The 12,905-nt window shown below is 37.0% G+C and overlaps 1 protein-coding gene across 2 annotated transcripts in view; it reads left to right on the top strand.

Moving 5' to 3' along the window:
* Positions 1-12,905, top strand: part of C12orf54 (chromosome 12 open reading frame 54) — an 83,371-nt gene that overhangs the window by 39,046 nt on the left and 31,420 nt on the right. For both annotated transcript variants that reach the window (XM_017018796.2, XM_011537896.3), the window contains exons 2-4: positions 3,382-3,575; positions 6,986-7,126; positions 7,257-7,350. The gene's annotated coding sequence lies outside the window, so the exon portion shown is untranslated. The remainder of the gene's footprint in view (positions 1-3,381; positions 3,576-6,985; positions 7,127-7,256; positions 7,351-12,905) is intronic.

Here is a 12,905-nt window from a genome sequence, read left to right on the forward strand (position 1 = left end):
TCTTCAACAAATCTTACAAAAACAAGCAATGGGGAAAGGATTTCTTATTTAATAAATGGTGCTGGGAGAACTGCCTAGCCATACGCAGATAGTTGAAACTGGACCCCTTCCTCACCCCATATGCAAAAATCAACTCAAGATAGATTACAGATTTAAATGTGAAACCCAAAACTGTAAAAACTCTACAAGAAAACTTAGGCAATACCATTCAGGACATAGGCACAGGCAAAGATTTCATGACAAAGATGCTAAAAGCAATTGCAACAAAAGCAAAAATTGACAAATGGGATCTAATTAAACTAAAGAGCTTCTGCACAGAAAAAAACACAACAACGACAACAAAAACTATCAACAGAGTAAATAGACAGCCTACAGAATGGAAGAAAATTTTTGCAATCTATGCATCTGACAAAGGTCTAGTATCCAGCATTTATAAGGAACTTAAACAAATTTACAAGAAAAAACAAACAACTCCATTAAAAAGTGGGCAAAAGACATGAACAAATACATCTCAAAAGAAGACATACATGTGATGAACAAACATATGAAAAAAACTTCAACATCACTGATCATTAGAGAAATGCAAATCAAAACCACAATGAAATACCATCTCACACCAGAATGTCTATTATTAAAAATAACAGAACTAGCAAGATTGTGGCAAAAAAGAAACATTTTTACACCGTTGGTGGGAGTGTAAATTAGTTCAACCATTGTAGAAGACAGTGTGATGATTCCTCAAAGACCTAGAGACAGAAATATCATTCAACCCAGCAATCCCATTACTGAGTATATACCCAAAGGGATATAAATCATTCTGTTATAAAGACACATGCACATGTCTGTTCACTGAAGCACTATTCACAATAGCAAAGACATGGAATCAAGCTAAATGCCCATCAATGATAGACTGGATAAGGAAAATGTGGTACATACATGATGGAATACTATGCAGCCATAAAAAGGAACGAGATCATGTTCTTTGCAGGAACATGGATGGAGCTGGAGACCATTATCCTTAGCAAACTAATGCAGGAACAGACAACCAAACACCACATGTTCTCACTTATAAGTGGGAGCTGAATGATGAGAACACGTGGATACACAGTGGGCAACAGCACACACTGGGGCCTGTTGGAGGGTGGGGGATGGGAAGAGGGAGAGGATCAGGAAGAATGGCTAGTGGATGCTGAGCTTAATACCTGGGTGATGAGATGATCTGTGCAGCAAACCACCATGGCAAGTGTTTACCTATGCAACAAACCTGCACATCCTGCACATGTATCCCTGAACTTAAAGTAAAAGTTGGAAATAAATAAATGTGTATATATATACACATACATATATATACACATATATATACATATATATACACATATACACATATATATGTGTATATTCATGTTCTGATATTCAAAGAAACTAATTTGCCCAGTGCCTCACAGCTAGAAATTTAAAGATAATGAAGAGCCAGGATTTATCCTCAAGTTTATTTAAACCTAAGGTATCTTTTAAAGAATAAAACAAAATATTTTGCACATTGCCTGTATCAAACACACACACACAATATATATGAAACATATAAGCATAATATCATATATCTATATTCATCTATCTACCTACCTATCCATATCCATATACATGTAATCGTTCACAGCTCATTTATTCTGACCTTGAGAAAACAAAGAAGGTGATATTTTACTTCTCAACCAAACTGAAAAAAGAAGTGCCTTCTTTTGATTTAGATTCATTGTACTTGAAGCCTTCTGTAACTTTGGAGCATCAGGATACCATGAGGTCAGGGAACTCCTGTTATTGTTGAAAAATAAATCAGGGGCTCTAAATTATAGGAAGGAAAATCAAGACAGTTCTCTCTCTCTCTCTCTTTTTTTGTTTGTTTTTTTTTTTTTTTTTTTTGAGACGGAGTCTCACTCTGTTGCCAGGCTGGCGAGAAGTCGTGCGATCTCAGCTCACTGCAACCTCTGCCTCCTGGGTTCAAGTGATTCTCCTGCCTCAGCCTCCTAAGTAGCTGGGACTACAGGCATACACCACCACATCCAGTTAATTTTTTTTGTATTTTTACTAGAGACAGGGTTTCACCATGTTGGCCAGGATAGTCTCCATCTCCTGACGTCGTGATCTGCCCACCTCGGCCTCCCAAAGTGCTGGGATTACAGACTTGAGCCACCGCACCCGGCCAAGACTGTTCTTTAATTCGATTAATCAGATTGGACAGGCTGCATAGTCATTTTTACCTGACATAGAAAAAAGATGAAGACTATCACAAACTGCAGGCAGATTAGAAAGGCCTAGGAGATGTGGGGTTTGCCTGAGCAGGTCTGATTGCTAAGAATAAAGCCTGTGGCCTGCTTTCTGTCCTCCTGCCCCTTCTTCTCTATCTCTTTCCTTCTTTATTTAATGCAGCCTCAGAGGAAAGTTATGCAGCATAAAATAAGTGTTAAAAGAAAAATGCAAAATTATACTTTGACTCTCTTTTTAAGATTGAAATTATTTCTTTGTAACATAAATTCCAAGTATCATATTTTACAAATACTGTTGGGTAACTATAGTAACTTAGTAAATGAAATATGCAAAGCTTAAGGTTGTAAGTCTAGGGAAGGCATTAGAATAAATATGCCAGCATCTTCAGACCTTACAGCTAGGACACTACTGCTTCCTTGTGGCTCAACTTTAGAATGACAAGTTTTGACTACTGCAAGTTTCTTCAAATCATAGGGGCTTCCTTTTGGGTTTGTTTTTCCTTCCAACTTTTAGGTTCAGAGGGTACCTGTGCAGGTTTGTTATGTGGGTAAATTGCGTGTCACTGGAGTTTGGTGTACAAATGATTTCATCATCCAGGTAGTGAGCATAGTACCAGACAGGCAGTTTTTCAATCCCATCCTCCAACCTCAAGTAGGCCCCAGTGTCTATTGTTCTCCTCTTTGTGTCCCTGTGTACTCAATGTTTACCTCCCACTTATAAATAAGAACATGCACGATTTGGTTTTCTGTTCCTGTATTAGTTCATTTAGGATAATGGCCACCAGCTGCATCCATGTTGCTCCAAAAGCCATGATTTTATTCTTTTTGATGGCAGCATAGTATTCTATGGTGTATATATACCACATTTTCTTTTTCCAGTCCACTGTTAATGGGCATCTAGGTTGATTCCATGTCTTTGCTATTGTGAAAAGCGCTGTGATGAACATATGCATACATATGTCTTTATGGTCAAATCAGAGTTTTGACTGCCAATTTTAAGCAGCTCACCAAACCCATGGCTTGGGATGCAGACAGAGTTGTTACAGATCTCAGAGAAACGTCAGCAGAACAGCAGTCTTTGTCAGAGACACAACCATATTCAGCCAAGTTTTTCTTTCAGATCTTCCAGGTTTTGGAGCAGAGAGGCTGAAGAAAAGATTTAAATAACAAGAAAACCTGGAGTTGAGCAGCACCTAAAGATCAGTGAGCAGCTCCAACATGATTGTACAGAAGAGCTAACAGGCACTGGAAGTCTAGAGAACAGGCAGAGATACCCCCTGCACTGTGTAAAATTATGAAAAATGTATCCATGAGGTAAGATTTGATACATACACATAAATGATCAAAATCTGTCCTTCATTGTCTGTTTGACAGTGAATAAGTTTCTTCGCCTTCTATTACTCAGTTGCCTTATTTATAGAACACTAACAATCATAGTAACTACTCAGTGAATTTTCACAATGGTTAAATAGTGATAATAATTAAAAAATAACGTGATTGAATCCTTACCATGTGCCATACGCTATTTTAAGTGTTTTACACTGATTATCTCATTTCTTCTCACAAAAAGTATAAGAGCATATAAAGCTCTTAGCTAATATTATGTCAGTAGTTTGTACTCAATAAATTATCATTTAAAAGTCTGTAAAGCTTTCTCTATATCTCAACGAAGTAGGGAAAACACATTTTTTAAGCAGCTCAGCCAACAACAATTGTTTTCCAGGCACTGTATTGGGCCCTGGGTATATAAAGACGAGTAGGAGAGAGTCTCTGCCTTTAAGACACTCACACTGTAATGAGGAATAAAGTTATACTGACAGCTGTAATGCAGTATAGTAAGTTATACTCTACCAGTGTGACAAGATTGCTATGGGAGTTCAGAGGAGGAAAAATTCAAGCTGTATCAAGTGGTCAGGGAAATAGTTACAGGAAAGATACCATTTGACCCTGCCTTATCTAGAGAAGCAAGTCTTAGAACGAGGAGTGGCAGAAGTCTTCCCGGCAGAGGAACCAGTTTAGTAAAGGAAGAGAGATGTGAACAGGTAGCATTTGAGATTAAGATCATGGACTCTGGAGCCAAAGAGGGTTAAATTTGAATCCCAACTCTGCTCCTCGCCTGCCGTGACCTTGGGAAAGCTATTTCTCTTTGTTTCTTTGCCTGGAAAATGGCTTTGACAATTGTTCTCCATGTTAGGTTGGTTGTGAGGATGAAATGAGATGTTCACATAACATTTAGCATATTGTCTAGCCCATTAGTGCTGTGTTATTATTAATATATTTCCCTCTGTCTAGGTTCTCATCAGTTGAAAAAACTGAACTATCTGTTAATTATCAGCTTTTTTCTTCTTTGGCAAGCAGAATAAACCACATTAAATGCACACATCAATTGTAAGAAGCAGCTGAATCTCAGAAACACCAAAGTACGAAAAGTGTGCATCTTCAAATCAAGGAAAGCATATTATCACCATTATGAGGACCAGTCTGCCAAGAATCTTTCATAGGATGCTGAATATTTAGATGTGATCCTACTGTTAAAATCTTTCCTTTCTTGGTGGTTTCTAGATACTTTGTAGCTCCTAAATCATGCATTAAGTTTAGTGTGTAGTTACTTGTGTCTGTCTCCCCTATTAATATGTGGTCTCTGTGTAATATGTCCCCAGCACATCGTGGGTAATCCATAGACTATGAAATTAAATGGAATCAGACCAAGCTGGGGGTGGTATAGAGTGAGAGGTGACCGTAGGGCCCCAGGCCCGAACTCAGAAGAATGGGCCGTAAGCTTGGTGCCAAATGAATGCAACAAGCAGTTTTTTGTTGTTGTTGTTGGTGGTGGTGGTGGTGGTGGTGGTGGTTTTTTATTTTTGTTTAGTTTTTTTGTTTGTTTGTTTTTTGAGATGGAGTTTCACTCTGTGGCCCAGGCTGGAGTGTGATGTCTTGATCTCAGCTCACTGCAACCTCTGCCTTATGGGTTCAAGTGATGCTCCTGCCTCAACCTCCTGAGTAGCTGGGATTACAGGTGTCTGCCACCACACCCGGCTAATTTTTGTATTTTTAGTAGAGACGGGTTTTCACCATGTTGGTCAGGCTGGTCTCGAACTCCTGACCTTGTGATCTGCCTGCCTCGGCCTCCCAAAGTTGGATTTGCTCTAGTCCCGGGCTTCTCTGCCAGGGAAAATTGTTCTGATGGTGTTTGGCCCCTCCAAGCCTGTCTCTAATGGGATGGGGAAGTCAGCTTCGGCTTCGGTGCCCAGAAGCTGTGAGCCTCTCCAGTCTGCTGCCTCCTTGGCTTTGGGTCCTCTTTCTGTGTGGCATTCTCTACCTCCACAATGACACTGAAATTGTGTCCTGCGGGAGAAGCAGCTATGAGGCCATTGAGCATCATTACCCAGAGGACGGGATGACTGGGGAGTGATGTTCTGCCTGGCGTTCCAGGGTCTCCTTATTGCAAGTTGGCACTTGTCCCTTCAGGCCCCAGCAGCTTCTCCCTCCTCTGACAGATCACAGAAAGCTTAGTTGACAGGAGTTTGAGGAAGCAGCTCCCCAGTGTCTGAGCCCAGGAACAATTGCTGAAGGCAAGGGTGGCCTGTGCTTTACTTCCCTCACCTACAGACTTTTGAAGAAACTGGCCAGAGGCCCACCTTGTTTTCGGCTTCCTCTCAGCAGAAATATCAGAAATGCAGAAAAGGAGGCAGACACCCTTGAGGCTTTCCTAGTGAACTCCAGCCTGACCTGCTGGAGTCAATTAAATGCACAAACTGCCCTTGGCCTCATTCACTGCAACTGCTCAGCAGCTAGTGAGGAGAATATTCTGGATTTAGAGAATATTTGTTGATTGGTACAGGAGAGGGATCTAAACAGTCAAAACTCTGAGCTATATGCATTGAAAACACATAACTCAGTATTTGAGTTAAACATACATGGAATTTTATTATCGGGGTGTTTGGACAGAATAGGCTTCTCTTTCCCATAATTGTTCATATCACCTTTCTACTGCTGTATTTTAACAACCACCTCTCTGTTGACCTCCATACCTGATTCATATGCTTATTTACTGCATGGCTCACCCAAACGTTACTGTTAACTACAAAGTAGCTTCTCAAGGACAGGGACCAGTCTCCTCCAGTTATTTTATTCCCAATTTGTATCTTAGTGCTCAAGACATGGGTGTTTAATAAATGTTTACAAAATATTAGTGTTACCATCAACATCATGATCTCTAGTCATTATTGTTTTATGCCTGACACCTGCTCCACAGAGGATACCTTGATTGTTCTTTTTTTTTTTTTAAACCAAACCTCATACCTCATCCTGATGGTACCTCACTTCCTATTTTGGAAAGACTGAAACGATTAAGCATGCATGAGCAGTCATGGACCTCTAGTCTTCATTGAAACATTACTATCTTACTTAGATTTTCAGAGATTTTAAGCATTTTAATAGAACTTATCAAATATTTTCTCTCATCTTTGCTGCCCAACTTTTCAAGCAGATGTCCAAGCATGCTGACATCCTTTCCTACCCATCAGCTCCTTTTTTGAACCTCCTGTAAGCTGGCTTCCATCTATCCTCCTCTTCAGGAATCATACACTTTTTCTGCACCAAAATCTTCTTGATAAATTGTAACTACCCCTTTCTCCTTTTATTTCTTTACTTGCTTAAATATTATGAAATTGCACTTTCCTAGCTCTCCCTCATTCTTATAATCATTTTTCTCTGCTTGATAGGTCCTGCTATCGCAGTGGTAGAAGACTCAAGCCAGGACTTTTAGAGCTTGTAGGTGCTGAGGTAATCAGGAATGCTTTCACCAATATTCCAGTCCTCTGTCTGAGCACACGGTGAGACGGAACTTCTCAGCTGCCTCAAAGGTAAGTGTAGCTAAATATCTAGTTTGGGCCAACGGAAAGTGAGTGGCGGTGATGTGTCAGTTCAAGGCAGAAGTTTTTAAAACAGTGTGATTCATCATGTTTCTTTTTCCATATCTCAACAATGCTGAAGGATGAAGGAGGAGGCTCCCTCAGCCTGGTTATCTGGGTGGAGATGATACAGAGCAAAGCCCTTCCTCCAAGCCCATCTAGAGAGGACATGTCATGTGAGTAAAAAAATAGAACTTTCCGATTTTCGGTCACTGAAATTTAAAGGTTGTGTCAGGGATTCCCAAGACCATTCTTAGGCTCAGTTATTCTCTAGAAAGACTCACATGACTCAGAAACCATCGTAATTACAGTTGCAGTTTATTACAAGGAAAGGGTACAAATCAAAACGAACAAAGGGAAAGGGCACATCTTGCCAAATCCAGGAGAAACCAGGTGCAAGTTTCCAGGTGTCCTTGTCCAGCAGAATCGCACAGGAATACTCTTAATTCTCCAGGCAGTGATGTGTGGCAACATGTGAAATACTGCCAAACAGGGAGGCTCACCTAAGCCTTGAGGTCTAGACTTTTAACTGGAGGTCAGTCCCATAGGCATGTACATATGAATGACCTCAGTTACTCAGACTCAAGTCCCCTCCAGATTAAAAAGAGGCATTCACCATAAAGATAATCTTGTCTGGTCAAACTGGTACAGGATGGCCTAAAGCCTCAGATGTACAAAAACACTCTTATCAGGCAGAATGTTCCAAGGGTTTAGGAGTTATCTTCCAGGAGCAATCCAAGAACCAATGCTGAAGACAAGCCTTTCTTTGGAATATGCAGAGTATGAAAAACCTAGGCTTACAGAGTTTATTCTTTCCTGCCCAGGGAGTTGATTTTGGGGGTCATACAGCCTCTTCTGATTGTTATAGAAACCCAAGTCATTTCCAGTTTTGAAACACTCATTATACTAAAAAATGAAGAAATGTCCAAACAAAACTATAAAGAAAGGTGAAATAATGTAAATATTTACATTTAGTAAAATGAAACTTTGGAAATAAGGCTTTTGGAGACATATAAACACTGAAGGAATTCATTACCTGGAGATCAACACTGTAAGAAATCTTAGGGAGAGTCCTCCAGGGAGAAGGAAAATGACACCAGATGGAAATCTGGATCTACACAAAGAAGTGAAGAGCCCCACACATGATACTTACAAAGGTAATTACAAAAGACTTGGTATTCTTTTTAAAAATCTTTTTATTTTAATGATAATTGACTATTTAAAGAGAAAATAGTAATATATTTTGGGGTTTATGCCATATGACAACAATAATAGCACAAAGGCTGTTGGGATAAATGGAAGCATATTGTTGTAATATTTTTACATTATAAATAAAGTCTACTTGAAGGTAGACTCTAATAAGTTAAAGATATAAGCTATAAACCATAAAGCAGCCTCTAAAGTAACACAGATGTAGTTATACCTAATAACCCAACAAAGGAGATCAAATGGTATCACAAAAATACTCATACAAAGATGCAGGAAAAACAGGAACAAGGGAACAAAGAATAGCTAAGACAAATAGAAAACAAAGAGTGAAATGAGAGTGAAAAACCTAAATGTCAACTAAATATCTCAATTAGAGGACAGAGATAACCAGATTTGATTTTTTAAAAAGAAGGAAACCTAACTGTATGCTGCCTCATAAGAAACCCACTTTAAATATAATACCACAAGGATATCAAAAGAAAAGTGATGGAAAAAGATATTCCGTGCTGACACTAATCAAAATAAAGTTGAAGTGACTTTATTAATATCAGAGGGAGTAGATTCAGGAGCAAAGAAAATTACCAAGGCTAAAGAAGGTCATCTCATAATGATAAAAGGGTCAATTCATAAAAAAAGCATCTGTGCATCTGACAAAATATATGTCACAAAGACAGAGAACTAAGGAGAAATAGACAAAATCATAATTTTAGTTGCAGATTTAAATACCCCTTCAATAATTGATACAAGTAGACCAAAAATCAGTAAGTGAATAGAAGATTTGAAAAACACTATGAATCAACTTGACATAATTGAAATTTATGTAATTCTCCACCCAACAACAGTATAATACACATTCTTTTCAAGTATACATGGAATATTTTCTGAGAGAGACCACATTCTGGGCTATAAACCATGTCTCAATAAAATTTTTAAAATTCAAGTCATAAAAATATTTTATCTGATTATTAAGCAATTAAATTATAAATCAATGGCAAAAAGATATCTGGAAAAATCTTCAAAATTTGGAAACTAACGTATATCTCAATAATTTAAAGATCAAAGAAGAAATCAAAAAGGAAAATTAGAAGGCATTTTGAACTAGATACAAATGGAAACAATATTTTGAAACTTGTGAGATGCAGCTAAGTCCCACAAATTTCCCATCAATTTAGAGGGAAATGTATAGGATTAAATGTCTGCATAAGAAATTAAAGGTCTAAAGTCAGTGCTTCTACTGTAAGAAGCTAGCAAATTAAGATCCAATAAAACCAAAGTAAGCAGAAGAAATAATAAATATAAAAATTATAATGGATATCATTGGAATAGAAAAAGAGAAATTAGTGAAATCAAAAGCTGATCCTTTGAGATGAATAAAACTGATAAATCTCTAATTAGACTGATCAGAAAAAAGAGATGGAGGGAGAGAGATGGATAGAGAAAGGAGACATGACATTTCCAGTGTCAAGATGAGAAAGGTGACTTTACTACAAATTGTATAGATATGAAAAAACTAATAAGGGAATTTTGAGAAAAGATTTATTTTAATAAATTTGAAAATGGATAAGAAATCAACATATTTCTTGAAAGATACAAACTACTAAAGCTCACTCAAGAAGAAATAGATAACTTGAATAGCCCTATTAAATATTTAAATTAAAGAAATAATTTCTAGTTAAAACCTTTCTATAAAGAAAAATTTAGGCCCATATGGCTTTACTAATGACTTCCACATTTAAATAATAAATAATAAAAAATAAACAACAACTTCTGGAATATTAGGAGGAAGGAATACTTCTCAATTAATTTTGTGATGCCAACATTATTATGATGCCAAAAATCGGACTATGACATCATAAGAAAAAACCAGAGAGCAATATCATTCATAAACATAGATGCAAAAATTTTAATAAAATTTTATCAAGCAAATTTCATGATATATAAAGAAGATAACACATTATAACTAAGTGGGGTTTACTCTAAGAATGCAACATTGGTTTAACATTCAAAAATTAATATTATATACCATATTAACAGAATAAAGAAGAAAAAATCTTAATATGTACAGAAAAAGCATTTGACAAAATCTAAAATCTATAATATTCCCAATGAGCAAATTTTGGCAAAGTGGGAATATAGGGAAACTTGTTCAACTTGACAAAGGAGATCTATAAAAAAATCTATATCTATAGAAGTATATCTATAACATAATACTTCATAGTAAAAGACTGAAAGCAGTCTCTTTAGGATTTGGAACAAGGAAAGAAATCTGCTCTCACCACTTCTATTAAACATTGTACTATAGATTCTAACCAGTACAATTAGGACAATAAAAGAGACAAAAGCCTTCCAGACTGGAAAGGAAAAATTAAAACTGTGCTTATTCATAGACAACATGATCATCTATGTAGAATATTCATAAAACAACTTCCACTAGAACTAATATATGAGTTTAGCAAGGTTGCAGAATAGAAAATTCAACATACAAACTAGATGTAGATATTCAAATACTAGGAACAACCGAAACTTAAAATTAAAAGGGAAAAATACAATTTACAATAGCATCAAGAAATATTAAATGCTTAGGTATAAATCTAACGAAAGATGTGCAAGATTGTACATTGAAAACTATGAAATATAGCTTAAAGAAGCTAAGGGGGATATTACTGCTGACCCCATAGAAATATAAATAACCATCAGAGATTATTATGAACACCTTTATGCACATAAACTAGAAAATCTAGAAGAAATGGATGAATTCCTGGACACATACACCCTCCCAAGACTGAACCAGGAAGAAATTGAATCCCTGAACAGACCAATAATGATCTCCAAAATCGAGTCAGTAATAAATAGCCTACCAACTTTAAAAAGCCCAGGACCAGGTAGAATCACAGCTGAATTCTACCAGAGATACAAAGAAGAGCTGGTACCAAGAAAACTATTCCAAAAAATTGAGGAGGAGGGACTCCTCTCCAATCATTCTATAAAGCCAGCATCATCCTGATAGCAAAACCTGGAGGACACAGTATAAAAAAAAAAAGAAAGAAAGAAAACTTCAGGCCAATATCCTTGATGAACATCAGTGCAAAAACTCTCAACAAAATAACTGGTAAACATAATCCAGCAGCATATCAAAAAGCTTAACCACCATGATCAAGTAGGCTTCATCCCTGAGATACAAGGTTGGTTCAACATATACAATTCAACAAATGTGACTCATCACGTAAACAGAACTAAAGACAAAAAGCACGTGATTATCTCAATAGATGCAGAAAAGGCTTTCTTTATAAAATTCAACCCCCTTTCATGTTAAAAACTCTCAACAAACTAGGTATTGAAGGAACATACCTCAAAATAATAAGAGCCATCTATAACAAACCCACAGCTAACATCATACTGAATAGCCAAAAGCTAGAAGCATTCCCCTTGAAAACAGGCACAAGGATACCCTCTCTCACCACTCTATTCAACGTAGTATTGGAAGTCCTGATAAGAGCAATCAGGAAAGAGAAAGAAATAAAGGGCATCCAAATAGGTAGAGAGGAAGTCAAACGATCTTTGTTTGCAGATGACATAATCCTATATTTAGAAAACCCTATAGTCTTGGCCCAAAAGCTCCTTCAGCTGATAATTTCAGCAATGTTTCAGAATACAAAATCAATGTGCAAAAATCAGTAGCATTTCTATACACCAATAACAGCCAACCTGAGAGCCAAATGAGGAACACAATCCCATTCACAATTGCCACAAAAAGAATGAAATACCTAGGAATACAGCTAACCAGGGAGGTGAAAGATCTCTACAATGTGAATTACAAAATACTGCTCAAAGAAATCAGAGATGACACCAACAAATGGAAAAACATTCCATGGTCATGGATAGGAAGAATCAATATTATTATGGCCATACTGCCTAAAGTAATTTACAGATTCATTGCTATTCCTATTAAACTTCCAATGACATTCTTCACAGAATAGAAAAAATGGTTTTAAAATATATGTGGAACCAAAAAAGTGCCCATATAGCCAGGGCAATCCTAAGCAAAAAGAATAAAGCTGGAGGCATCACATTACCCAATTTTGAACTATACTACAGGACTATAGTAACCAAAGCAGCTTGGTACTGGTACAAAAACAGACACATAAACCAATAGAACAGAATAGAGAACTCAAAAATAAGGCCACACACCTACAACTATCTGATCTTCAACAAAGCTGACAAAAACAAGCAATGAGGAAAAAACTGTCTATTCAATAATGGTGCTGGGACAACTGGCTAGTCATATGCAGAAGATTGAAATTGAACCCCTCCCTTACATATACAAAAATTACCTCAAGATTTATTAAAGACTTAAATGTAAAACCCAAAACTATAAAAGCCTTGTATTACAACCTACACAATACCATTCTGGACATAGGAACCGGGCAATGATTTCATGACAAAAATGCCAAAAGCAATTGCAATCAAAGCAAAAATTGACAAATGGGATCTAATTAAACTAAAGAGCTTCTGTACCACAAAA

The sequence above is a fragment of the Homo sapiens genome, chromosome 12, assembly GCF_000001405.40.
Source record: "Homo sapiens chromosome 12, GRCh38.p14 Primary Assembly".
Lineage (NCBI taxonomy): Eukaryota > Metazoa > Chordata > Mammalia > Primates > Hominidae > Homo > Homo sapiens.